General features: G+C 44.0%; 1 protein-coding gene across 9 annotated transcripts in view, besides 7 other annotated features; it reads left to right on the top strand.

The window, feature by feature from the left end:
* The window catches only part of MREG (melanoregulin), a 94789-nt gene that overhangs the window by 5631 nt on the left and 62862 nt on the right, over positions 1-26296 (top strand). For 7 of the 9 annotated variants that reach the window (XR_001738843.2, XR_007078319.1, XR_001738842.2 and 4 more), the window contains exon 1: positions 14915-15233. The exons of the other annotated variants lie outside the window; for them this stretch is intronic. Coding sequence is in view for 2 of the 7 variants with exons in the window: in NM_018000.3 (NP_060470.2) it covers positions 15139-15233 (95 nt within the window). In the remaining 5 variants the exon portion in view is untranslated. Of the gene's footprint in view, positions 1-14914; positions 15234-26296 lie in introns of those variants that run through there. 9 annotated transcript variants of the gene reach the window in all.
* Positions 12389-12468: an enhancer, noted in NCBI's record as "active region_17082". NCBI's record gives its function as "activates an Ori minimal core promoter by ATAC-STARR-seq in GM12878 lymphoblastoid cells {active_cell/tissue: GM12878}" and the evidence as "EXISTENCE:reporter gene assay evidence [ECO:0000049][PMID:35858748]".
* Positions 14711-15120: a silencer, noted in NCBI's record as "silent region_12302". NCBI's record gives its function as "represses an Ori minimal core promoter by ATAC-STARR-seq in GM12878 lymphoblastoid cells {active_cell/tissue: GM12878}" and the evidence as "EXISTENCE:reporter gene assay evidence [ECO:0000049][PMID:35858748]".
* Positions 15093-15860: an enhancer, noted in NCBI's record as "H3K27ac hESC enhancer chr2:216877329-216878096 (GRCh37/hg19 assembly coordinates)". NCBI's record gives its function as "activates a minimal SCP1, AML or CMV promoter by ChIP-STARR-seq in primed H9 embryonic stem cells {active_cell/tissue: H9 hESC(primed)}" and the evidence as "EXISTENCE:reporter gene assay evidence [ECO:0000049][PMID:30033119]".
* Positions 21665-21714: an enhancer, noted in NCBI's record as "active region_17081". NCBI's record gives its function as "activates an Ori minimal core promoter by ATAC-STARR-seq in GM12878 lymphoblastoid cells {active_cell/tissue: GM12878}" and the evidence as "EXISTENCE:reporter gene assay evidence [ECO:0000049][PMID:35858748]".
* Positions 22305-22354: an enhancer, noted in NCBI's record as "active region_17080". NCBI's record gives its function as "activates an Ori minimal core promoter by ATAC-STARR-seq in GM12878 lymphoblastoid cells {active_cell/tissue: GM12878}" and the evidence as "EXISTENCE:reporter gene assay evidence [ECO:0000049][PMID:35858748]".
* Positions 23271-23420: an enhancer, noted in NCBI's record as "active region_17079". NCBI's record gives its function as "activates an Ori minimal core promoter by ATAC-STARR-seq in GM12878 lymphoblastoid cells {active_cell/tissue: GM12878}" and the evidence as "EXISTENCE:reporter gene assay evidence [ECO:0000049][PMID:35858748]".
* Positions 23431-23550: an enhancer, noted in NCBI's record as "active region_17078". NCBI's record gives its function as "activates an Ori minimal core promoter by ATAC-STARR-seq in GM12878 lymphoblastoid cells {active_cell/tissue: GM12878}" and the evidence as "EXISTENCE:reporter gene assay evidence [ECO:0000049][PMID:35858748]".

The following is a 26296-nucleotide window of genomic DNA, read 5'->3' as shown; positions in this document are numbered from 1 at the left end:
AGCTCCGCCTCCCGGGTTCATGACATTCTCCTGCCTCCGCCTCCCGAGTAGCTGGGACTACAGGTGCCCGCCACCACGCCCAGCTAATTTTTTGTATTTTTAGTAGTGACGGGCTTTCACCGTGTTAGCCAGGATCTCCTGACCTCGTGATCTCGATCTCCTGACCTCGTGATCCATCTGCCTCAGCCTCCCAAAGTGCTGGGATTACAGGCGTGAGCCACCGTGCCCGGCCTATCTGGGTATTTTGAGCAAGTTCGTGAAAGACATCTCTTTCAATGGTTTGCAACCATACCACACTATACATGTCATTTATTTCCACTTAAAGCCTATGTTTTACATTATATTTACATGAAGCATTATTTGGTTTTAGTGTAGAAGTCCAAACTCTTGTATGGAAGTCAAAATGCCCTGCCTCAAATTCTAAAATTTTCCTTGTGAAGTAACTGTATTTACATAGAAAAATCAGAAAACTATAATGTTGAGAATTAAACATTAAAATTTCAAGTTTTATTAAATAATTGACTTTAAGTGTATTTTGAAATTTAGTGTCTTTGAAAATTTATTCGACATTTTCAGATTTAGAATGCTTTCAGAAAAACAATGCAACTTGTGAATGACTTTTTATCACAGAGGGTGGGGGAAGGGAGAGTTGGCTTGACTCTTGTTCAGAATGGACATTTTTGATATTAGGCAAATTTTAAACTGACACTTTCTGTTTCTTTCCTTCTTTCAAGGTCCTAGTGTCTTAACTACCTCATGCCTTTTTCTTTTTTGAGACAGATTCTTGTTCTGTCACCGAGGCTGGAATGCAGTGGTGTGATCTTGGCTCACTGCAACCTCTGCTTCCTAGGTTCAAGTGACTCTCATGCCTCAACCTCCCAAGTAGCTGGGATTACAGGCATGTGCCACCATGCCCAGCTAATTTTTGTATTTTTAGTAGAGATGGGGGTTTCACCATGTTGGCCAGGCTGGTCTCGAACTCCTGGCCTCGAATGATCTTCCCACCTTGGCTTCCCAAAGTGCTGGGATTATAGGGGTGAGCCACTGCACCTGGGTACCTTGTGGCTTTTAGACTATTATTCTTACTTCAAAGTTAAATTTCTCTTAGAGAGCTTCGAACTCTACTGGGTAATGGTGGTGAAATGGTGGTGGCACAGCATTATCTGTTTAAAGATAGTTCAATTCACATATTTTTTAGCTTCCAACAAGTATATTCACACCATTGTTTTGTCTTTCTGTCACCAAACACCAAATGTATTACAGCAAAATATTCCTATACCACCGTTCACATTTTACCAATAAGAGATGATTGATTTCATCAAGTATCTTTGAATTGTTTGGAGGGTGTCTTTGCAAACGGATAATTATTTTGGAGACCCTGAAATCTCTAAACATCATTTTTATTTCAAGAAACTTTAAAGAGTATATGATCATAACACTTCAAACTTCTTTTGAAGGAAAATATTCTTTACATGTAGACAGAAGTTATCTCTCATGTTTAAAGTACAGATTTACATAATTTGGCTATCCAGAGCCTACTACATGGATAGGATGCTTGATTTTAAGTACAGATAGTTTTACCTGATTTGCCTTATGTGATGTAAGTTTACTCTGAAGACAGAGTAACATTTTAGTAATTCCTAGTTATTAAAAAATTAAGGTTCTTACAGTAGAGCATTAATTTTCATAAAGTGGGCTGTTCCCAGGGAAGAGATTTTTTGTGTTTGAGTGTGTGTGTGTGTGTATGTTTTACCCCATTTTATTTAATTGAGGTGAAATTGACATAATATAAAATTAACCAGTTTAGCCAGTTGTGGTGGCTCAAGCCTGTAATCCCAGCACTTTGTGAGGCAGAGGCGGGTGGATTGCTGGAGCTCAGGAGTTCAAGACCAGCCTGGGCAACATGGTGAAACCCCATGTCTACAAAAAATAAAAAAATTAGCTGGGCATGGTGGCGCATGCCTGTAGTCACAGCTACTCAGGAAGCTGAGACGGGAGGATCGCTGGACCCTGGGAAGGTTGCAATGAGCCTAGATGGTGCCACTGCACTCCAGCCTGGGCAACAGAGTGAGACACTGTCTCCAAAAATAAATAAATAAATAAATAAATAAACACAATGGAAGTAACCATTTTAAAATGAATGATCCAGTGGCATTCAGCACATTCACAATGTTGTGTAATCATCATCTTTGTCCAGTTTCAAAACGTTTTCATCATCCCAGAAAGAAACTTTATATACATTAAGCAGTTGTTCTTCATATTCTGTCCCCCACCCCTGTCCCCAGCAGCCATCAGCTGGAGTTATGTCTCTCTATGGATATTTAATGTATATTGAATCATATAATGTGTGACCTTTTGTGTCTGGCTTTTTTCACTTATCATAATGTTTTTGAGGGTCATCCACATTGTAGCATATGTCAGTACTTCTAGGGAAGAGTTTTCATCATGTTTATGTGGGTGAGACTGCTTCTACTTGTGGACAATTTCCTGAACCTTATTTCTAGAATGTTCCCTCCAAAGGGCTGAAGGCTTAAGTGTTCATGCCTGGAGGACTTCATCTTATGTTAAAGAAATCTGATAAAAGAATTCCTGGCATTTTGAGAGGAAGGAAATCCTGAGCTTGTGTGACTGCCCACACGGATGGATTTCGGTGCAGGGATTGCCGAGCAGTGGCTGCTGAGATTCACGGGCTCTAGATCCTCCCTCCGGAAGGAAGGAGCTGCTGGAAGTGTTGCCCGACACGGCCCTAGCTGTCAGCCCATTTCTGGGACAGCCTCTGCTGAAGAGGGCTGCCTCGGCTAAGGCCATGTTCCTTTCCCAGGTAGGCCTCATCCAAAGACTGATTGTCATGGAGGGGACAGAAAGGGCCAGTTCTCGCTTACTGACTGACTCAGAGCAGCTCTGAATTTTCATTCTGTCTTTAGAACTCCCCATAGGGTTGACTGAGGCCCAATCAGTTCCTTTGTGCCCTTCTTTTCCACAGGTGTTGGTTCTATGCACACTCATAATAAATCTCCTGTATGCTAAATTCCATCTCAGAGTTAGCTTTCCTGGGAAGCTAATTGGCAGTACCAGATTTTCTGCCAGTTAGAAGGAAGGAAGGTCTGCACCTCCTCTAAGTTGAGAAGCTTTGCTTTTGAGCTACTGGGCTGTCTGTGGGTAGTAGAGGTCTTCTTTCTTAGTTTTACAATTTTTGTCCTGTCGAGATCTTTAAATCAACCTCTTCTGGGTATCAGTGGGGTGGCAGCTAAGGATTTTGCCTTTATTAATGAGTTTTGCATTACTACAAAACCATTCTCCTATGTTGCCATAGAGAAAACATAAACATTAAAATGAGATGTGCATTTTCATGCATTCTCATGCTTTTCAGGGATGTCACAGTGCCAGGAATCATGAAAGGGATACAAACTGTTATGCCAGTTCATCTTTATAATACATTTTCTTTCTTTCTTCCTTTCCTTTCCTTTTCCTTTCCTTTTCCTTTTCCTTTTTCCTTTCCTTTCCTTTCCTTTCCCTTCCTTTCCCTTCCTTTCCGTTCCTTTTTTTTTTCCTTTCCCTTCCTTTCCCTTCCTTTTTTTTTTTTGAGACAGAGTCTTGCTCCGTCGCCCAGGCTGGAGTGCAATGGCGTGATCTCGGCTTACTGCAACTTCTGCCTCCCTGGTTCAAGCAATTCTTCTGCCTCGGCCTCCCAAGTAGTTGGGATTACAGGGGTGAGCCACCATGCCCAGCTGATTTTTTTTTCTTTTGAATTTTTAGTAGAGATGGGGTTTCACCATGTTGGCCAACCTGGTCTTGAACTCCTAACCTCAGGTGATCCACCCGCCTCGGCCTCCCAAAATGCTGGGATTATAGGCATGAGCCACCACACCCAGCCAATATATTTTCTATAGGCAAGAAACCGTATTTGTTTAACAACAATTGGACAGGTTCTGCTCTCCCTTGGACTGAGGAGTACTTTGATAAGTCATTTGGCTTAGGGACAAAAGAGAGGGCACGGGGCGTCCTTTTTTTTTTTTGAGACTGAGTCTCACTCTGTCACCCAGGTTGGAGTGCAGTGGTGTGATCTATGCCTGGCTAATTTTTGTATTTTTAGTTGAGATGGGATTTTGCCATGTTGACCAGGCTGGTCTTGAACTTCTGACTTCAGGTGATCTGCCTGCCTCAGTCTCCCAAAGTGCTGGGATTACAAGTCTGAGCTACCGTGCCTGGCCAGCACCTGGTCTTCTTATGGGGTACATAGGAAAGATGTGAGTGATAGGGAGGGGTGGCCCAGTTTAAATTCCCTACCTGAAGTGACAAGACCTTTCTAAATTGAAAAGAGCTCAAGGAGAGAAGACCCTGAAAGGCTCGGCATGGCAAGGGAGAGTGGAGCTTAGAGGCATCCAGTTTCAGCTCCACAAAGTGATTCAAAGGGGTACTCATGGCATATACTTGAAAGGGCCCTCTACTTTGGTCAAGCAAAATATTTAATATTAAGCATTTATCAGTTGGAGAGGCTGGCCAGGTGTGGTGGCTCACACCTGTAATCCCAGCACTTTGGCAGGCCAAGATGGGCAGATCACTTCAGGTCAGGAGTTTGAGACCAGCCTGGCCAACATGGTGAAACCGTGTCTCTACTAAATGTATAAAAATTAACTGGGCATGGTCGTGGGTGCCTGTAATCCCAGCTACTCAGGAGGCTGGGGCAGGAGAATCGCTTCAACCCTGGAGGCAGAGGTTGCAGTGAGACAAGGTTGTGCCACTGCACTCCAGCCTGGGCAACAGAGTGAGACTCTAACACACACACACACTCAGAGAAATAAAATGTAAAAACAAGAAGTTTTAATGCTTCATTTAAATTGCTTCCCTTATATTATTTAAGAAATATATCTAGTGGCCTATACACTTTCCATGGTTTTCAGGCTAATAAATCAAATACCAATGCTTAATAAGATGAAATGAAATAGTAATACAATAATCAAAGCTATTTGGCACATGGTAGCCAAGAAAAGAGAGGATTTACTTATTGCTCAATTTAGCAGTGCCCTAACAGGTTTAGAGTTTAGTTTACAGCTAGTTTAAATCTCCCACTTAAATATTACTATGTCCCTTTAAGCTCTAGGTTCATACAGGCATTGTGGCTACAGCAGCTTTCCATCTGTTGAGTAAAAGAAAGCTTTAGAACCTATTTGAGATCCTTAGCCCCATCTCCAAAGAGACTGCAGTGAATTTACAATTGGATGCCAGGAGGTGGCAGCACAGAGGATTATAGGAAGGTTTGTATATAACCTTTGTGGGGAAGTCTAAGGTTTGTATATAACCTTTGTCGGGGAGGTCCACCTGCTGTCTTTACTTTGGTAGAACTTGTCCGGGAGAGTTGCAGGGTTCTGGCCTGTCGATGTATCTCTTGAGTGTTGTGGAGAAAGAAACCATATAAAGGAATGGTGAACTAAAAACACGAATTTAAAGGCATAAATTCGGTTATCTTTAACACTCAGATGGGTAGGATCTGGGCTTAAAGTTGAGGCAAGCCTCCGGTCGCCTTTCATAGCAAATGTGAATGATGCTCAGGTTTTCTCCTACTACAGTTTTTGATGCATATTTTCTCCTATTTTGCAACTTCGAGTCACCTTGCATATAGCAAGTGCTTAATAAATGCTTCTTAGAAACTCTGCTTCTGCTTCTTAGAGTTTAATTGAATTAGGAAGCACACCGATGATAGCTGGGTCTAGGCTTATGTTTAATTTTGGTTAGGTATAATATGGAGAGACTTTGGAGAACACAGAAAACTTGGAATAGTAGGGGGCTTGTCTTCCGGAGGTAGGAAGAGGTTGAATTCCAAATCTCATCTCTGGGGCTGAGAATTGAGACTGTTCTGGGCATCTGGAAAGTGTTTGTTATGGCAGGAGAATTAGCTGTGACAACAGAGTTCAATATAGGAGTATAGTTAGAGATGGAGATATAATTAAAGTGGGAATATTGTTAGACGTAGCAGTATAATTAACTATGGGAGACTAGAGATGACAACATAGTTAGCTATAAGAATCTACTTAGAGATTGCAGCATAGTTAATCATGGGAAATATGGGGGTGAGGTAGGGAAGAGCACATGGTAGGAACTGAAGGATGGGTGACTCGAGGCATAGATGAATACAGAACATTTGAGTTCCATAATTTTCTATTTTTGGCTCTGGATAGTACTCTGAGGATGAGTACTGTTATTATTATTATTTTTTGAGACAGAGTTTTGCTCTTGTCACCCAGGCTGGAACACAGTGGCACTATCTCAGCTCACTGCAACCTCCACCTCCCAAGTTCAAGTGATTCTCCTGTCTCAGCCTCCCAAGTAGTTGGGATTACAGGTGCCAGCCAGCCACCACACCCAGCTAATTTTTCTAATTTTTGTCTTTTTAGCAGAGACGGAGTTTCACCATGTTGGCCAGGCTGGCCTTGAACTCCTGACCTCAGGTGATCCACCTGCCTCAGCCTCCCAATGTGTTGGGAGTATAGGCCTGAGGCACCACAGCCGGCCAAGTACTGTTTGTTTTTCATCTTTGCATTCCACAAGAGGTTGAGCTCAGTGCCATGCTTACACAGTTGATAATAAATACTTGTTGAGTTGAATCCTTTCAGATGGTCACAGTTGGCAATGGAAGGTGATGGGGTCGGATCTGACTAAAGTATGAATACTTAACAATAATTGCAGCTAACGTTTACGCAGTGCTTCCCATTTCCCATGAAATTGTACTAAGGGCTTTCTGTGTTATTTCACCCAATCCTGACAGCAGCCACAGGGAAGCACTGTTATGCCAAAGACCATACTCTAAACAACCCTGCCAGTGGTTCATAAATTTGACGTGCCTCAGAATTCCCAAGCCTCTGGAAAAGGGGTGACTAGGGTGAGAGGGGAGTGAGGGGCCTATGGAACAACATTAAAGGAGGCACTCACATTTGGGGTTGTACAGTTGCAGGGTGGGCCCCAAAAGCGAGTGTCTCTTTATATGTTGCACTCTAAGCTCCTCATTTGTCTCATTTTAGTCCCTTCCCTTCTCATCCTAGTCCCTATAAAAGGCTTGGGAGCCTTTTAAAAATGCAGATTTAGCCGGGTACAGTGGCTCACGCCTGTAATCCCAGCACTTTGGGAGGCCGAGGCGGGTGGATAACCCCAAAATATTAGCTGGGTGTGGTTGTGCATGCCTGTGGTCCCAGCTACTCGGGAGGCTGAGATTGGAGAATTGCTTGAGCCCAGGAGGTGGAGGTTGCAATGAGCCGAGATTGCATCACTGCACTCCAACCTGGGTGACAGAGTGAGACCACATCTCAGAAAAGCCTAAAAAGCCCGACAAATACTAAAAACATGGATTCTTGGGCCCCTACTGAAGAACATCAATTCAGATGATGTCAAATAGGGTCCAAGAATCTGGAGTTTCCGTAAGCATCCCTAGGGATTCTAGTGCAGGTGTTTAGGATCATCGCTCTGTGAGAAACTCTGCTTCTGCCGACGGTCTCAGATGAGAGTCCCTTTACATTCAGTGAAATAATTTCTCTCTGTCTGTTTGGTTTGGGGGTAGATGTTGGTGAGGTCACCAGTTTTCTATCTGAATTTTTAAGGGACGCAGTGGGAGTCTGACGTTCCTCTTGCAGAGAGCTCCTGTAGTGTGTTTTGCGGGGCTTTGGCCCAACAGGACTATTCCTTGTGGGGTCCTTTCTGTCCATTCTAGATGGCGGTCCTCCTTGGATACACACACCATGCTTGAAACAGTGCATCGCTAGCTGTTATTACCAAGTGCAATGGATGTTTTCTCTGGCCCTGCCAGTATCCATTCCCCTTTTTGTGTTTCCAGTTGATTTTCCTTTGGAAATGACAACTTTCCCACTCTTAGCCCTTTCCTGTCTCCTCAGCTCCTCTTCACTTGAGCTCTGCAAGGGTGTGCATGAGACTAGAACCTGCTAGGTAGATGTATTTTCTCCCTCCGAGCACAGCAATTGGTTCCATTTGGGTCAAGGAGAGTCAAGCCTGGGCCTGTTGATCAACTGTCTGGGAAGGAGCTATCCTCTTTCTGCTAAGATCACTAACAGGAAAGACGGTGCAATTCAGGCCTAGTGGGGACCTGAGAATGCCATAACTCAGAGCTCAGAGATGAAAAGAGACCAATCTTTATTTTATCTTTGGAGGGCCTGGATCCAGTTATGTCTAAAGCTAGCATAATGTCTGAAGTTTCCAGTTACTTGAGGCAGTACATTTCTTCTTAAACTAGTTTGAGTGATGTTTTTTGTCCTTAATAATTAGAAGATGATTAATATCCAGCAGATAAAGGTCATAATAGCTATACAAAAAGGTGTTGGACACGCAACAGGGTTAGAATCCCTTCATGGAAGGGCTGAAAGAGCCAAACTTTCTTGAAGAAAAACATCTTACCGTGCTCTACTCCTCTTCCAGCCCAGCGTATGTGTTTTTTTTTCCTCCCTGGGAAAAATTATTCTCTTTTTAAAAGGGCAGAATTATTCCCGAGTATGAAGTTGCCTAGAGAGTAATCTCTACTGAATTTTGAGGAGAAGTTATAATATGTTTGTTGCTTGGAACTGAAGAATAAGCAAAGACTATGACTATTAAGGTTTTCTAGAGTATATATTTTGGGGAAGGGAGGGAACCAACAAACTGCACCCAATAAAAATAGTTTGAGGCTGGAAGCGGTGACTCAAGCCTGTAATCCCAGCACTTTGGGAGGCCTAGGCGGGCTGATCACGTGGTCAGGAGATTGAGACCATCCTGGTAACATGGTGAAACCCTGTCTCTACTAAAAATACAAAAACAATTAGCCGGGCATGGTGGCGGGCGCCTATAGTCCCAGCTACTCGGGAGGCTGAGGCAGGATAATGGTGTGAACCCTGGAGGTGGAGCTTGCAGTGAGCCGAGATTGCGTCACTGCACTCCAGCCTGGGCGACAGAGCAAGACTCTGTCTCAAAAAAAAAAAAAAAGGTTTGAAAATTTAGAAAGTCCTTTGCATTATGGGAAACGACAGAGTGATAGGACAGACAGAAACAGATAGATAGTGTCTGTTTCTCTTCAGGGAGGCAAAGCCAAGCAGAGAAACAGAAATAAAAATCTCACCTGACTAAATCAAACTTTGGTGTGTTGTACCCTGCCTAAAAGAGAGTTGTGTTTTTTCAGGATTAGCTCGCTCTCTCATCACAATTACCCTTTTCCTGCCTCTTAACCCAGTTCAGGGGACTATATGGGGTTAGTTCTGAAAGCAACAGACTCTAACACTGGTTAACTTAAGCCAAAAAAGAAAAAAAAATTAGTATTGATTGACAAGTTATGGAGTAACCCATAGAATGATGGGAGTACTAAAGAGCTAGAATAATAGATCTTGTTTCGGAAATGCAAGAGCAGGAAAGCTCTAAGCATCTAAAGCCTAGAGCAATTGTGGTTGGGTCTGCTCTTCAAGATGCTACCCTTAAAATAATTCATGCCTCAACTCCAGCTGTTTTCCAACTTTGAGTCTTTGCCGTTAAGAAGCAAATTATAGAAAGAGTGTTTGATTGGCTCATCTTGGTCACATGTCAATTTCTTGGTCACATGTCCATTTCCTGTTGAGGGTTAGGGGTGAGGGATGGAAGGTACCTTCATTGTTATAGCCAGCCTATTGAATTGGGGGCATGTTCTTCAAAGGAAAACAAAACACTGTTACCAAAAGGCAGAGTGAGGGATACTACACAGGTAGAAACAACAGACTCTATAAGGACCCTTGGCGGATTTTACTTTGGTAACATTAGTCATGCCACTCCCTAATGTGACTTCTCTGGAGAGGTGAGGCATGTTGCTTCTCTATCTTGGATCACTTGGGGTGAGTGATGATGCTTGGCTCAGAGTACTGGTTTGTTTCAGAAACCCTATTTTTTCTTTAAGGAAGACGCTACTTGTTCGTTTTTCTCTGCTGGATGTGGGCAGCTCATAAATAGACTCCTCAGAATTAAACATAACCTTCCATGCCAACACTAAATAGCTCTTTTTCTGTTTTCTTGTGTTTATTCAGCACATTTGTTAAGTGCCCACTATGTGCGTGCATTGTTCTAGATGTTGTCGTATGGCAAGGTCTGCACTGTTCTAGGCGTTGGGGATATTGCAAAGAACAAAACAAAATCCCTGCCTCCATGAATGGACCCTACATTCTAGTTCACCATTGTATTCCCAGTTCCTGACTTAATAAATTTTTGTAGAACAAATAACTGAATGATACCAGCTCATGCTATGTTGTCTAAGCACAACTTTTTGGTGGAATGTGTTCATGATGTGGCATTGGAGCTTAATTTTTTTTTTGAGGTGGAGTCTCGTTCTGTCGCCCAGACTGGAGTGCAGTGGTGCGATCTCAGCTCACTGCAACCTCTGCCTCCTGGGTTCAAGTGATTCTCCTGCCTCAGCCTCCCGAGTAGCTGGGATTACAGGCATGCACCACCACTCATGGCTAATTTTTTTTTTTTTTTTTGTATTTTTAGTAGAGATGGGGTTTCACCATGTTGGCCAGGCTGGTCTCAAACTCCTGACCTCAGGTTATTCGCCCACCTTGGCCTCTCAAAGTGCTAGGATTACAGGCATGAGCCACCGTGCCTGGGCGGAGCTTCAGTGTTTTGAATTTCTAATTTTTCCTCCCTGCCTGTGCTTTTTCCTCTAACTCCCAGAAGTCGTAAAAAAATTCTTAAAGAGAGGGGCCTCCAAATTCTACTAGTTGTTTTCAAACCAGACTGTAGAGTTTCCCCTGCTATGGGGAAATCTGAAAATAGGAGCCAGCAGGTCTGCCTTGGAAACAAGCAGCTGATGGGTCTGTGAGTCACTGATGGCAGGGGACTGCCTACTTCCCGGACATCAGGTGCCCAGAGGGCTCTTGGTAAAAGTCAGATGCTGCTGCATGTGGTTGGCGGTGTTGGCTTCAACTCAGGCAGTAGGAACCATCTAGCGCCACTCTAAAAAAGGGGAAACTTGCTGCTGCCCTGTGAATGATATCTGAAATAGGATTGTCAAAATGTGATCTCAGCTACCATATTTGAATGTGAAACTGGAGAGTTTGGTCACGTTTTTATTCCCATCAAAGTTGTAATTTATCAAGGAAATAGTGAAGGCATTAAAATTCCGGGAAGAGGAATGCTAAGAAAAACTGATCTAAAAATCCCTAAAAACCTAGTAAACAGAAGACTCACATCAGTTAATAAGAATGAGGTAGTATTAGTATACTAACAAGGATTGCTCTCCAAGACATATTATTAAATAGAAAAAGCTTGCAAATAGATGCTGCACGCCTTTTAGATAAACAAAACAAAACAAAACTCACTAACAATAACAGCACACACAATGATGCTACATCACAAGTACACATATGTGTTTATGTGTCCAGAAAAAGGTTTGTACCATATTGATAATAATGGTTACCCGGGGGGATGTGGAGGGTGGAGGTAGAAAGGGGATTAGGTTGTGGATAGTCAACAGAGGGAATCTGAGCTGTAATATTCCAATTTTTTAGAAGACTATTTCATTTAGAAGTTTTAGAACTTAAAATTAATTTTAAAAATGTTAGTAACTGTTACAGTTGGCAAACATTTGATGTGATCCTTAGCAAGGCAGGACATTAACCTCTTGATCAAGTTTGTTAAATAGATGTAGTTCTGTGGCTTTCTATAAATATCCTGTCTGAAACAAACCACATAAAAGATGCCTGTATATTGCAGAGGTACAAATGTCATATGCAAGCCAAGTAGTGCTGGAGCTGACATTTCCCCAAACGGGCCTATATTATTTGAATTTGTTTAATAATATTGAATTCTGATATTTCTTCAGGGCTTTATAAAGGTTTTAAGACTGTCTCATTTGAGTCTCACAACTGTGTTAAATAGGGTAAGACTTGTCACCTCTATTTCATAGATTAGAAAACTGAGGTTCAGAAAAATTAAGTGACATGTTTAAAAATCAAAGTTAGTAATGGGGCACAGCACTTATATTTTCCAGGAGCTGAATGCTCCAATTTCTCCATTCTCAGCAAATCCAACTCAAATAGTTACTAGTAGCTGTCAGTCCCTAGTTTTCATTTTCTTGCTAGCTGAGTTCACATTTTGGGACCCTCCTTTACCCACTTTCTATTTGAACCTAGGTGGATTATCTCAAAATCCAAAATCCAATTTCAGAATACAGTCATTTTTACCAGGGGATTTTCCAGCCAGTAGGAAGTGTGCTTTGTAAAACCACACTCAGCCTCCATCTTGGCACCAGGTGCAAGTGGTAAGCGACATGGTGTGGGCATGACAACACAGTCCTGTGCTGTCTGGTGACAGCTGGTTCTCTGTCACATCCTGTTAATGTTTCATGATGGGTCCATATCCTGTCTCCCCAGCTAAGCCAGAGGCTGCAGGGACCTTCTGTTATTTTTCTTTATCCCTTCGTAGCCTTTCAATGAATTATGTACTTGATAAGTCCCTTCAGCCTCACACTGTAGCTGGAACAGGACAAACCTATGTGTAGTAAGACACTTTTAAAAATAATACACCGCCCATGAGGATTGACACTTTCATAAGCTCTTGCTCCTCCTCCTCACCCTCCAAACCGGCTCCTCCCACACTCCTCTATCTCAGCCAGTGGAGATTCAGCCTCCAAGTTTATAAATCCAAAACTTGGGACTCACTTTTTTCTTTTCTTTTCACACCCTATTTACAATCCTTCAGCATATCCTGTTGGCTCTACCTTCAAATTCCAGCTAGAGTCCAGCCGTTCCTTACCACCTCGACTGCTACCACCCACCACCCTGGTGTAAACCACTGTCATCTGTCACCTGGACCTTTAGGATGGCCTCCATATACATCTCCCTTGACACTTAGGTTTTTCTCAAGACAGCAGCCATTGGATCCTATTACCATCTCAGTTAGACCATATCGTTCCCTCTACTCAAAAACCTCTGAAGATTTTCTCAGCTCATGTGGAGCAAAATCCAGAGTCCTTGCAATCAATGTCCTGCAACGTCCCGTGTTCCGCTATCTCCTATAACTCTTCCCTTTCCATGGCCCCCTTCTCTCTAGGGCCCCTAGAGTCCATATTCTCCCACAGGTACCCTATAGTTCATTCTCCCTCCTCTGGGGTTTTGCCCATATTCACTCCGCCTGAAATACTCTTCCTGGCGATATCATGGCTAGCTTGCTCACCTCCTTCAAGTTTTTCTTACATGTCACAGTCTCAGCGAGGCCTTCCCTGACCACCTCATTTAAAAGTGCAGGCATCACTCCCCTCCACCCAACACACACACGCACACGCACACATACACGAACACACACGCACGCGCGCGCGCACACGTACGCACGCACAGACGCACGCGCGCACACACACGCGTGCACACACACACCCCGCTCTCCCTGGCACTTCTTATTCCCTTCCCTGCCTTATTTTTCTCCATAGTACATATGGACTCCTAACATATTGAATAATACTTTGTCTGACTTCCCACTAGAACGTTTGCTCCATTAGAGTAAAGATTTGTATTTGTTTCATTCACTGCTTTATTCCCGGCTCTTAGAAAATACCCAGCACATAACAGATGAGATGCTCCATAAATATTTGTTGAATAAATCAGACTGGAAAAGACAAAACTTTAGATTGAACCTTGCATTTGGCGAGGGTATAGGGAAGTAGATACTTTCATATGTTGCTGGTCAGAGAGTAAATTCGGATTATTTCTTTGGGGAGCAATTTGGCAAGATCCATCAAAATTAAAAAGGCACCTGACCAATGACCCAGCAATTCAACTGCCAAACATTTATCCAATAGATATATATATCTTTAATTTTATTTTTTTTTTTTTGAGACGGAGTCTTGCTCTGTCACCCAGGCTGGAGTGCAGTGGCGTGATCTCGGCTCACTGCAACCTCCGCCTCTCGGGTTCGAGCAATTCTCCTGCCTCAGCCTCTTGAGTAGATGGGACTACAGGCGCCCGCCACCATGCCCGGCTAATTTTTGTATTTTTAGTAGAGACGGGGCTTCACCATGTTGGCCAGGATGGTCTCAATCTCTTGACCTCATGATCCGCCCGCGTCGGCCTCCCAACTTGCTGGGATTACAGGCTTGAGCTACCGCGCCCGGCCTATCCAATAGACATTCTTGCAGACGTGTTCAAATACTTTGGTTCAAGAATGTTCACTGCAGCATTATCTTAATAATGAAAGGCCGGAATCCACCCATATGTCCATCAATAGGGGTCTGAGTAAGTAACATGTGGGCATCCTTAAAACTGCTTAGCATGCAACTGTTAAAATGAGAGGAGGATATCCACGCGCTGACAAGGGACAGCCTCCATGATACACTGAGTCAAAAAAGCCAGGTGCAGAAATGTGTGGAGTATGCCGCTGTTTGGGTCAAAGGGATGAGGACAGGCACATATATTAACAAGTTTGTACAAGCACAAATAAATACAACTATATATAAATAGCTCTGGAAACTCACAAGTGGTTGCCTCACAAATAGGGGCTATTTAAGGACTAGGAGGTTTGAAAACAATTTTTCAAATCATTGTAAATATATTATTTAAAAAAAAACCCTACGCCGATATGCATCAATCCATGCTCTTTTGGTAACTTTTACTCTGTGTGGAGCTGACATCAAAAACATGCCCAAAACTCTGCTTTGAAGGCCTGTAGGGGTGGGGGAGGATCTTTAATTTCCTCGCGCAGTGAAGCCAATAAAAGGTACGAATAGATTCAGCCCAACCTCGTGCTCTGTGGCTCCAGGGCTTTCCCCTCCCCGCCCTCCCCCAGCCCGGCTGCCAGCCTCCGGTGCCCTGGGATTTTGAGGACTGGCTGGAGTCCCTGCTTCACCCTTAGAGGGCGGTAGCGGGGCGTCTCGTGGACGCATGCGCCCCAAATTGCGCTCGGGGAATTAAAAGAGGGGAAAAAAAGCCCGAAGAAAACTCACGCCCCAAACAAAACGCAAGGAGAGGAGGGCGCGCGGCCTGCAGCCCTCGCCCGCGTCCCCGGCCGCGGCGTGATGCGCGCGGACCAGCCCGCGACGCCCGGGCTGCCGCTGTCCCCGCACCTGGACGCTGGCGCGGTGGCCGCGCCCCAGCCTCGATCGCTCGCCGCGGCGACTCGGCCCCAGGCTTCCGGCGCCGGTGGGGGCCCTCGCTCTCCATGGGGCTGAGGGACTGGCTGAGAACCGTGTGCTGCTGCTGCGGGTGCGAGTGCTTGGAGGAGCGCGCCCTGCCTGAGAAGGAGCCCCTCGTCAGGTGGGTGCGCCGCCCGGGCCGGGATCTGGGCTTACCTGGGCCGTAGCCGGGCGCCGAGAGTGTGGACACCTGTGTGCTTGTGTGAGTTGGGGAGGTGGGCTTGCTGGAAGGGCACGCGGAGGCGCCATCTCAGCCCCTTGGTTCCTTATGGGATGTTTTGGGTTTGTTCCTTGAGTAAGATTTTTGCCGAAAAGCACAAATCTTCGGAGACACCTGAGACCCAGCTGGATGTCTGTGCAAAGTGCCAAGAATTCGGGTGTCCTACCTGGGCAGGGAAGTAAGGGAGAGAAGTTGATCAGAAGTTTCCATAGGGGTCTGATAAAATACAACTGTGACTGGGTATTTGATCGGTATATTACAGTGAAACGGGCGACTGTGGATTTCTGTGCCACTCAGCAAAAAAGTTGTCTATTTCTCATTCAATTTTATTACCCAACGAAGACGATTCCAGTGACTGAGTATAAGGAAATATTTTTCACATGAAAAAAATGCATGTTTCATCAAGGGGCAGCCTATTCACTAGGATGTTGATTCATTACAGGTTAAGCTATGAAGTGTGAGGAAATGTAATGCTCATTAGCAATAAGCTAAGAGGCTTTGTGAAGAGACCATACCAGCCCAGTTTTGTTCAGGGCTGTGATTTTAAGCAATCATTTTCTATCTTGAGTTTGCTGAAATCGAGGCTGGACTAGGTCATGCCTCAGGGGTAGACATGACAGAAACAGAATATTTAAAATGGAATTAGGAAACAGTATTTCAGGTGGAATTCCAGGGTTGAGTAAGCAAATACTAAAGCCAGGGTTTCTTTCTTTTGAAGTATGAAACTCACGTAATACAGCTTGCACAACTTTTTCTAAGGAATGATTTACCTTTTCTTACTCTATCAAGTCCAAACACCCCCTTGACTTTGGAGATCTTACATAACCCCTTCCTGCCTGTCCACTCTGATTTTCCAGTACATTAAACAGTGTACACTCCTTGCGGCCGTGGGAATAATCCACTCATTGGCTCCAACCCTCCCTCAAGTGGTGACCTTTATCCTTGCTCCTCCTTCCCAAAAGCTATTTTCAAGGCCTTCTCAAGCAATCTTCTTTGATTACTTTGCCCTTATCCATCTTCCTCTTCTAGGATGTAGTACTTAGAAATTACCATCTACTCCTCGCTGTTTGGTAAGCACACATGTATATAAACATGTAACTCATGTATATTATATATATAAAGTCATACACACAATATACAGTGATTTTGATTGCTCTTGTCAATGACACTCCCACTTAGATTTTTAGATTATTGTGTGTAGGGAGAAATGGAATAATCTATCTCTAATCTAATAGGTAGTGGGTAACTGCAATCTAGAATTTTATGCTTAGGTTATACACTGAACTTGTCAGGGCTCTTAGTAACATGAAATACAGACTTGAGCTTAGTTTCAACCTCAGAGGCTTGAGTATTTCCAGTTTTCTGTCCAGGATTGCTGTTTCAGTTAATAGTTCTGGTTGTTTTAAAATCTTAGATGCTCTCCTGTCTTAGCTTCTATCCAGTGAATACAAGTCAGTGAATTTTGCATGTGATTTTAAGAAGCCCCAGGGTCAATTGGAGCGGAGTAGCATAGGGCTTGTGAATCAGGTTGCCTGGAATGAGTCTGCTCACCCAACTAGGTAACCTGGCACAAGTTATTAAAATTATTTGTGCCTCAATTTCATCATCTGTAAAATGGGGATGATAATAGTACATACTTCAAAGGTTTGCCACGAGAGATGAAAGGAGATAATACATATAAAGTGCTTAGTATAGAGTGTGACACATAGTTAACACTCAATAAATTGTAGTTATTAATTATCATTGTTATTCTGAGCATGTGGGTATGAGTGGACTGGTCTCATGTGGTTTGGTGTCATTCTGGCACCATTTCCATATAACAATATTTGGGAAGAACAGCTTATTAATGGATACGTGGAACAGTGGCGTGTGTGTATATGGGTACCTGCAGGTTCTTTCCTATACAAGGCATCTGAAGATTGGTTCTGAAAACTTTTTTTTAGTTGATTTAAAAATTTTTTAAAGTATGCAATTCAGTAGTTTTTAGTACATTCACAAAGTTAAGCAACAATCACCACTATTTTTTTTTTTTTTTTTTGAGACGGAGTCTTGCTCTGTTGCCCAGGCTGGAGTGCAGTGGCATGATCTCGGCTCACTGCAAGCTCCGCCTCCCAGGCTGACACCATTCTCCTGCCTCAGCCTCCCGAGTAGCTGGGACTACAGGTGCCGGCCACTGCGCCCGGCTAATTTTTTGTATTTTTAGTAGAGACGGGGTTTCACCGTGTTATCCAGGATGGTCTCTATCTCCTGACCTCGTGATCTGCCTGCCTCGGTCTCCCCAAAGTGCTGGGATTACAGGCGTGAGCCACTGCGCCTGGCCGATCATTGATCATTTGTCTGTAAAATAGTGAGTGACTTTTGGTTCAAAATTTCATCTTATTAATTAAAAGAAATACTTGGAGTATGTAATCACTGGTTTTCTGTGGTTGCCACCACCACTTCCCATAAACGTAGTGGCTTTTAAAACAAGAGAAATCTGCCGGGCACGGTGGCTCACGCCTGTAATCCCAGCACTTTGGGAGGCCGAGGCGGCCGGATCACAAGGTCAGGAGATCAAGACCATCCTGGCTAACACGGTGAAACCCCGTCTCTACTAAAAATACAAAAAATTAGCCGGGTGTAGTGGCGGGCGCCTGTAGTCCCAGCTACTCGGGAGGTTGAGGCAGGAGAATGGCGTGAACCCGGGAGGCGGAGCTTGCAGTGAATGGAGATCGCGCCACTGCACTCCAGCCTGGGCGACAGAGCGAGACTCCGTCTCAAAAAAAAAAAAAAAAAAAAAGAGAAATCTTTTCTTTCACAGTTCTAGAAGCCAAAAGTCTGAAATCAAGGTTTCCGCAGGGCCACAGTCCTTCCAAAGGGTGTAGGGGAGAATCATTTTTCACTGATTCCAGCTTCTGGTTGCTCCCAATGTTCCTTGACTTGTGGCCACACAGCTTCAGTCTTTGCCTCCCTTCATCTTTGATGTGTCTCTCCTCTGTGTCTCAAATCTCCCTTTCTTTTCTCTTATGAGGACACCAGTGATTGGATTTAGGGTCTGTCCTAAAACCTAGGATGATTTCATCTCAAGATCCTTGACTTAATTACATCTGCAAAGACCTTGTTTTCAAATAAGGTCATAATTATAGTGACTGGGGATTAGGACTTGGACATATCTTTTGGGGGGAAACTATTCAGCCCATTACAGAGTACTTTTGAAAGATGTGTGAGCCCAAAGCATTGGTAATTATTTCACTTTTGCAGCATGGCTTTCTTCCATCAGTGATAAGAGCATGCTCTTGCCATATAAAAATCTACCTGAGGCCAGGTGCAGTGGGTCACACCTGTAATCCCAGCACTTTGGGAGGCCGAGGCAGGCGAATCACCTGAGGTCAGGAGTTCGAGACCAGGCTGGCCAACATGGTGAACCCTGTCTCTATTAAAAATAAAAAAAATTAGCCGGGTGTGGTGGCGGGCACCTGTAATCCCAACTACTTGGGAGGCTGAGGCAGGAGAATCGCTTGAACATGTGATTCTCCTGAGCATGTTTGTGTTCCTGGAGGCACAGCTGCAGTCACCTTTAAGGAGAAAGACGCTCAGGTCTTTTGGCACCATGGAGCCTACTGCCATGTAGGATCTAATACAGACATCAGAGGCCTGGGAGATGCTGAATCAGAACACAGAGAAGCTGGCTGTGGTGTAAATGTCATGCACCGAAGGATCTTTCACAAGGGTTGCTTTGAACTTTTTCAGTGCTGGGATTACAGGTGTGAGCCACTGCACCCAACCCCCACTTAGCAGCATTTTTTTTTTTGCATTTTTGTACTTTAGCTGGCAATTTCACTGTTTAGAATATCTCCCAAAGTGTAGTGCTGAAGTGCTAACATACATGTTGGATAAGCTTCACTCCAACCTGAGATATAGGGTGTTGGCCATGAGTTCAATGTTGATAGAGCAACAATATATATTAAATAAGGTGTCTTTAGGCAGAAACACATAAAACAAAGTTATGTATTGATTGGTTGACAGGGATCTAATCCTGCCATCGGCTCACAGGAACCTAACTCTGTATTTCCCCTAGGAACAATGGTTCAGTATTCACTAATTCAGTGTTCAAGCGACTTTACAGAACCTAACTACCACAGACAACAAGAATCAGCTGTGCTTCATAGGGCTATGGTGGGGATTTCATTAACAGATATAGCAGAAATGGTTTAGTTTGAGTCACGCCGCTTGGGGCAGAGACTGAGTTGAAGAGGAAAGTGTCTCTGACAAGGAAGTTCATCTTCCCTGCCCTCATGCTCCTGATCCTGTACAGATTGGGCTTAGTGCTTGTGACAGACTAGGCACTGTTGTAAATGCTTTGTATCTGTGGGCCATTCAGGAAAATTCAATTTGTTTTGAATTTGGCCCACACCCGAAGGTCCTGATCAATTCCTTTTTAGAATGGTCCTTTGTGTGGGCACAAAACAGTCATCTAGAGCAAACTGAGATTTTATTTTACTTTCCCTCCCAGGAATTCAGGCACTGTAGAAAAATAAAACAGTGACGTCTGTCCATTCATTGCCTGCAGAGGGCATCAAGTTTGTTATCATGAATGGAAGCTGCAGGTGGGCATCCAGATGAACAAGGAGCAAAACAGATTTGGAAGCTCATTATATGGTCCACTTGGGTGGCTTAAGAGAGAGCCACACATAAAATCATAGCTATTGTTGTTCATTCTTTCCATTTCTTCTTTTGCTGTTGAAAAATCAGACAGATGTAACGATGTTTGATTATCAGTTATTAACAGCTAATAGAAATTAGAGAGTAACAATTGTTACAAATTGAATTTTCCTGAATGGCCCACAGATACAAAGCATTTACAACAGTGCCTAGTCTGTCACAAGCACTAAGCCCAATCTGTACAGGATCAGGAGCATGAGGGCAGGGAAGATGAACTTCCTTGTCAGAGACACTTTCCTCTTCAACTCAGTCTCTGCCCCAAGCGGCGTGACTCAAACTAAACCATTTCTTCTATATCTGTTAATGAAATCCCCACCATAGCCCTATGAAGCACAGCTGATTCTTGTTGTCTGTGGTAGTTAGGTTCTGTAAAGTCGCTTGAACACTGAATTAGTGAATACTGAACCATTGTTCCTAGGGGAAATACAGAGTTAGGTTCCTGTGAGCCGATGGCAGGATTAGATCCCTGTCAACCAATCAATGCATAACTTTTTTTATGTGTTTCTGCCTAAAGACACCTTATTTAATATATATTGTTGCTCTATCAACATTGAACTCATGGCCAACACCCTATATCTCAGGTTGGAGTGAAGCTTATCCAACATGTATGTTAGCACTTCAGCACTACACTTTGGGAGATATTCTAAACAGTGAAATTGCCAGCTAAAAGTACAAAAATGCAAAAAAAAAGCCGCTAAGTGGGGGTTGGGTGCAGTGGCTCACACCTGTAATCCCAGCACTTCGGAAGACCAAGACAGGTGGATCACTTGAGGTCAGCAGTATGAGACCAGCCTGGCCAACGTGGTGAAACCCCATCTCTACTAAAAATACAAAAATTAGCTGGGCGTGGTGGCACATGCCTGTAATCCCAGCTACTCTGGAGGCTGAGACAGGAGAATCACTCGAATCTGGGAGGCGGAGGTTGCAGTGAGCCAAGATTGAGATACTGCACTCCAGCCTGGGTGACAGAGCGAGACTCCATCTCAAAATAAATAAATAAATAAATAAATAAATAAATAAATAAATAAAATGTTGCTAAGTGATCACAAAAAGGACGCTTGTTTCCAATCTGAGAGCTGAACCAAGAAGCCTGAGTGTTGCCTTTTGACCTCGGCTGGGGCTGTGCGTCTCAGGCAACTCTAAATTTTTTGTCACTCTAGGCATGTTCATGAATGTCCTTGGAAACATCACTAGTATTGATTTTGGGGTTACAGGTAAATTTTGACGAGTGGGCGAATTTGCAAATGCAGAATCTCCAAATAATGAAGATTGGCTGTAATTATGTCCACCATCCCCAGTTGGCCATTGAGGAGACTGAGACACAGAGAACTTCAGTAACTTGCTTAGAGGCACACGTGGTCGAACTGGGATTCATATGCTAGTAGATTTCAATGCCATAGAAAGAGCAGAGCCCTTCTGGTGTGCAGAGAGGTATGGAACTAGCTGCTTACGTGGTGTGTGTTAGAAGTTGTGTTTGGAGTTTGAATCTTTCCCTGAATTGTTATAGCCCAGGGTCCAGAAACACTGGGTCTTTTCCTGCATTGAAGCTAGGGAAACCAGGTGCCAGTGGGAAAGAAGGGTGGGGGTAAGGGAGGGCTCACAACATGTAAAAGGGAATCACCACCAACTCTAGAAGTATAATAATCTTTTACATTTGTAGGGTTTTTCATTTTACGGTGTGGACTCACATGACCTTGGAGCTGACCAAATCATCTTCTCCCCATTGGAAGGGCTTTTAGAAAGTTGACGAGTACGTTTATGTCAGTGAGATTTCTCAGACCGGGGCCCAGATGGCCTGACTTTTTTCCCAGCACATACTATTGGGTTTTCCGGAGCCAGGTCTCTGAGCAGATTGGGCAGATTGGCACACCTCATCTGTGGCTTCCTGCAGAAACCTGCAGTTTGCAAAGCCGGTAGCTCCGGGGCCGGACAATGATTCACAGGAAGTGCCTGCAGGGGCACAAAGGGTTTTTACTGAAGGAAAGTGCCCTGGCTGGAAGATTCCCATTGCAAGGCTGGTGCTTTTGCCTTCTTGAAAGACAGGGGAGTGATAGGGGAGGGCCAGAGGTGCATGAGTGCTGTCCCAGGGACTGGGCTTTAGGCCCAACGCGTAGGAGGGAAGCTCTTTATAAGAAGTCAGCTGTCCAAAATTCACAAGGATGACTTTTAAAGGTTTTCTTCCCCGGCAAGCCACAGCGTCCCTCTTCTCTTTTTGTGACTTGCATTAGTCATAGTGCCATTGGAAGTTCCCGAGAAGATGAAATTTCTTTCTCCTACACATCATGTGAGAGTTTCTTGCAACTTTTTATTCTCTAGACTCTTGAAGTGATTTTATCACTACACCACCTATGTTTAAAAAGTATAAACTCTGCTTAAATGCTGGGTAAAATAGTTTATTCTGTTAGCACCTGAAGTCATTTTAGTCTGGTTAATAAATCTTTGTTTTGTGACAGTTATATACCATGCACTCTATTCTTTTGTGCCCTTTTAGGAAATAATTTTGGTGACATAGTGTGCAACAAAAGAACCCCTGAACTGTTTGACACTGTCCTGAATTGGCTCTTACTTAGCTTTTTTTTTTTTTTTTTTTACAAAAATCTTTTAAAAACTTGTGTTCCAATGTGTGATATTACAGACAAAAAACATACACAAATATGTTCAGTATAAAGAATAACTATAGGCTGGGCATGGTTGGCTCACACCTGTAATCCCAACACTTTGGGAGGCCGAGGCAGGTGCATCACTTGAGGTCAGGGGTTTGAGACCAGCCTGGCCAACATGGTGAAACCCTGTGTCTACTCAAACTACAAAAAAATTAGCTTGGTGTGGTGGCGGCACTTATAATCCCAGCTACTCTGGAGGCTGAGGAAGAAGAATCACTTGAAGCTGGGAAGCAGAGGCTGCAGTGAGCCAAGACTGTGCCACTGCACTCCAGCCTGGGTGACAGAGCTAGAACCTGTCTCAAAAAAAAAAAAAAAAAAAAAAAAAGAATAACTAGAAAGTGAATACTCGTGTAACCACCTCCATGGCAAGAGATAGCTATTGCCAGCCCCTTATCTCCTCCTTGATCATGTCTAGACTTCTAGCTTTCCCACCTATGTGTGCACCTTAAAGATGTACTTTTGTTTTGCCTGCCTTTAAACTTTGCATAAATGGGATCAAACTGTGTGTTCTCATAGAACTCACTTTGTTGGTGGAGCTTTGTGAGATTCCTCCGTGTTGTTGTATGTAGCCTTGTTCATGGTCCTTATTGCTTTAGACTGTATTCCATTTTGTTCCCCTATTCTACTCTTGGTGGACTTTTGGGTGGTTTCCAGTTTTGGGCTATTAAGTATGGTTTAAAGTCAGCATATAAGGTGAAATTAATTATTCATCTCTCAGTCATACTGGCTTCCCCTGGTTCCTCAAATATACCACCCACACCCCTGCCTCAGCGCCTCTGCACTTTCTGCCTGCCCTGCCTTGAAGACTCTTTCTCTAGTTTTCTGTGTGGATAACTCCTTCACTTTATTTAGATCTCTTCTCAAAGTCATTTTATCAGAACATTCTACCCTGACCACTCTCTTAAAACAGTGCCCCACCCTTCACTGTGTCCCTTACTCACTATGTATTTCTTTACAGTTCTGAATGTCACATGGCGTAAACATATGTGCTTATCATCTGCTTCCTCCCACAAGACTGTAAGGCCAATTTTCATAAATTTAAACAGCTAAAAAAAATGTTAGGAGCTTGTCTGTGAGCTTGAAGACACAGAGTCATACTCATCTCTACAGTTTAGAGCCCTGTGAACTTGGGAAACAAGAGTGCATTGGTTCAGCAAATATTTATTGAGCATTTACTATGTGCCAGGCACAGGTTTTTTTTTTTTGTTTGTTTTTTTGTTTTTTTTGAGGCAGAGTCTAACTCTGTCGTTTAGGCTGGAGTGCATTGGCATTATCTCTGCTCACTGCAACCTCCGCCTCCCGGGTTCAAGTGATTCTCCTGTTAGGCACTGTTTTAAGTACTTGAGATACATCACTGAGCAAAGTAGATACAGATCCCTGTCCTCGTGGCTTTTGTTCTAGTGGTGGTGGCGGTAGTGTTGGGGAGCCCAATAAACAGGAAACATAATAAGTAAACTAGGAGATAAATAAGTGTGTAGGAAACAAAAGTAGAGCAAGGGAGGGAGCATGTTTGCAATTTTAAATAGGTTGGTCAGGGCAGGCCTTGTTGAGGAGGTGGTGTTTAAACAAAGACTTGAAGGAGAGGGAGGAGTGAGGACGTGGCTGTCAGGAGAAAAACATTCTAGGTAGATGGAGATCAGCCAGTGCAAGGGCCCTGAGGTCAAAGTGTGACTTGACTAATGGGTTCAGGGAACTGAAGAGGGCAGGGTGGTGGACTGTCACTGCAGGCCTGGGGACCACTGCAGGACTTTGGCTTATCCTCTAGGCCAAATGGGTTAGCCACTGGCAGGTTTTGAGCTGAGGGATGACATGATCTGATTTACATATTAAAAGGATCACTTTGGCTGTTGTGTTAAGAATAGAAAGAAATAACTGGGTAAAAGAGACAACAGTAGAAATTCTTATGCAAAACATAAAAAGCCTTGGCTCAGGGTGTAGTGGTAGAGGTGGATATTTTTTGAATGTGGACCAATAGGATTTTCTGATGGATAGATATAGGGGATGAGGGAGTGGGGGATGCCGTCAAGGGTCTTGGCCTGAGCAATGGGAAGGATGGAGTTGCCATCATCTGAGTGGGGAGCCTGTGGATGGGTTTAGCGGGAAGATCAGGTGCTTGGTCGGGACCACACTGAGCTTGTGTTGTCTGTGAGACATCCCAGCGGAGATGGGAAATTTGAAATTTGGGAGAGAGTACTGAGCTGGGGATTCCGATTCGGGAATCTTCCTCATGTAGATGATGTTTAAAGGCATGGCACTAGATGAAGTGACCAGGTGTGAATGAAAGCAGAGGAGACACCAAGGACTGGGTCTTCCTCCTGAGCCCTCGTGTTTCCTTAGCTGGATGACACAACAGTGCTGGCTTCACAGGGTGCCTGTCAGGACCGTCTTCGAGCCTTGAAAGCAGGGCACAGATGTGTGAAGCAGCATCATATGGGGCTCTGCCTCAGCGTGAGAATAGAAAGCCCAAATGGTAGGAGCACATCAGAGTGGGATGCCAGGAAAGGGGTGCCCAGGGCTTTTCTTCCTTCACACTGAGGCAGGTCACATCTCTGGGGCTGAAGGAGGTCATGAGTGTAGGTGGCGAGTGCTGAGGAAAGCGCTGGAACTAATGGAACAATCGCCCCCCGACACCCCAGCTTGGGCAACACAGCAAGACTCTGTTTCAAAAAATAAAAAATAAATTAAAAACATAAGAAATAAACTTGGGGATAAGACATGTTTAAACACTGGATCGACTAGGTAAGAGAAAACCAGTATCAGAAAGAACAAAGGAAGGAGAGACAGAAAGAGAGAAAAGAGAGAGAGAAGGAAAGAGAGAATGAGAGAGAAGGAAAAAGGAGAGAGGAGGAGAGGGAGAGAAAGAGAGAAGAGAGACAGAAAGAGAAGGACAGGGAGAGAGAAAAACAAAGAAAGGGGAGGAAGAGAGAGGGGGAAGAAAGAAAAAAGAAAGAAAAGAGGAGAGGGAGAAAGGAGGGACTGAAGGAAAGACAAAGAAGGAGAATGGGGAGGGAAGCAAGGCGAGGATGGAGAGGGAGAAGATCTTAGGTTCACCTGCTCCATCCCAGGGAGGTCTCAATAGAGGGAAGAAGGGAAAGGTCTTGAAGCCAGGGGGGTAGCAGGCCAGCGACTTCCTAGCAGGAAATCAAACCAAAAGTCTGTGAGTGTCAAGGGTGTGGACCTGGCAGCCTGTTTTTCTGGACCGTTGGTTGCTGTTGACTGGAGATTTTCTTTCTTTGCTGTTTTCAGAGTTTCAGTCTTAAGCTAGTGGCCACTGCCACATGGCCTGTGGGGAGAGCAGTAAAGTCACTGGAACTGCCGGTGTCAGAGGCCAGCCTGTGTGCACTGTATTTCGTGGAGCCTTCCAAGGTCTTTTACATGCAGCCCTTGTTAGTAGTGAGGAATCCTGAGGAACTCTCGGTAAATAGCTTCAATGCTGACTAGCACTTTGCAGCCATATCCCCAGGCAGAAGTTAGTACTTACAAACATTTGTCTCTTTTTTATATCATGTTGAAAGAAAAGACTCTGGATTGATTGGGTCTTGAGCCCCTGGGTGGGATTAAGGGTGAAATCTTACCCTACCTTTTGAGAGTAAAAGCAGC

The sequence above is a fragment of the Homo sapiens genome, chromosome 2 (assembly GCF_000001405.40).
Source record: "Homo sapiens chromosome 2, GRCh38.p14 Primary Assembly".
NCBI classification, from domain to species: domain Eukaryota; kingdom Metazoa; phylum Chordata; class Mammalia; order Primates; family Hominidae; genus Homo; species Homo sapiens.
Note: the sequence above shows the minus strand (reverse complement) of the source record. Positions and strands in the feature narration are given on the sequence as shown.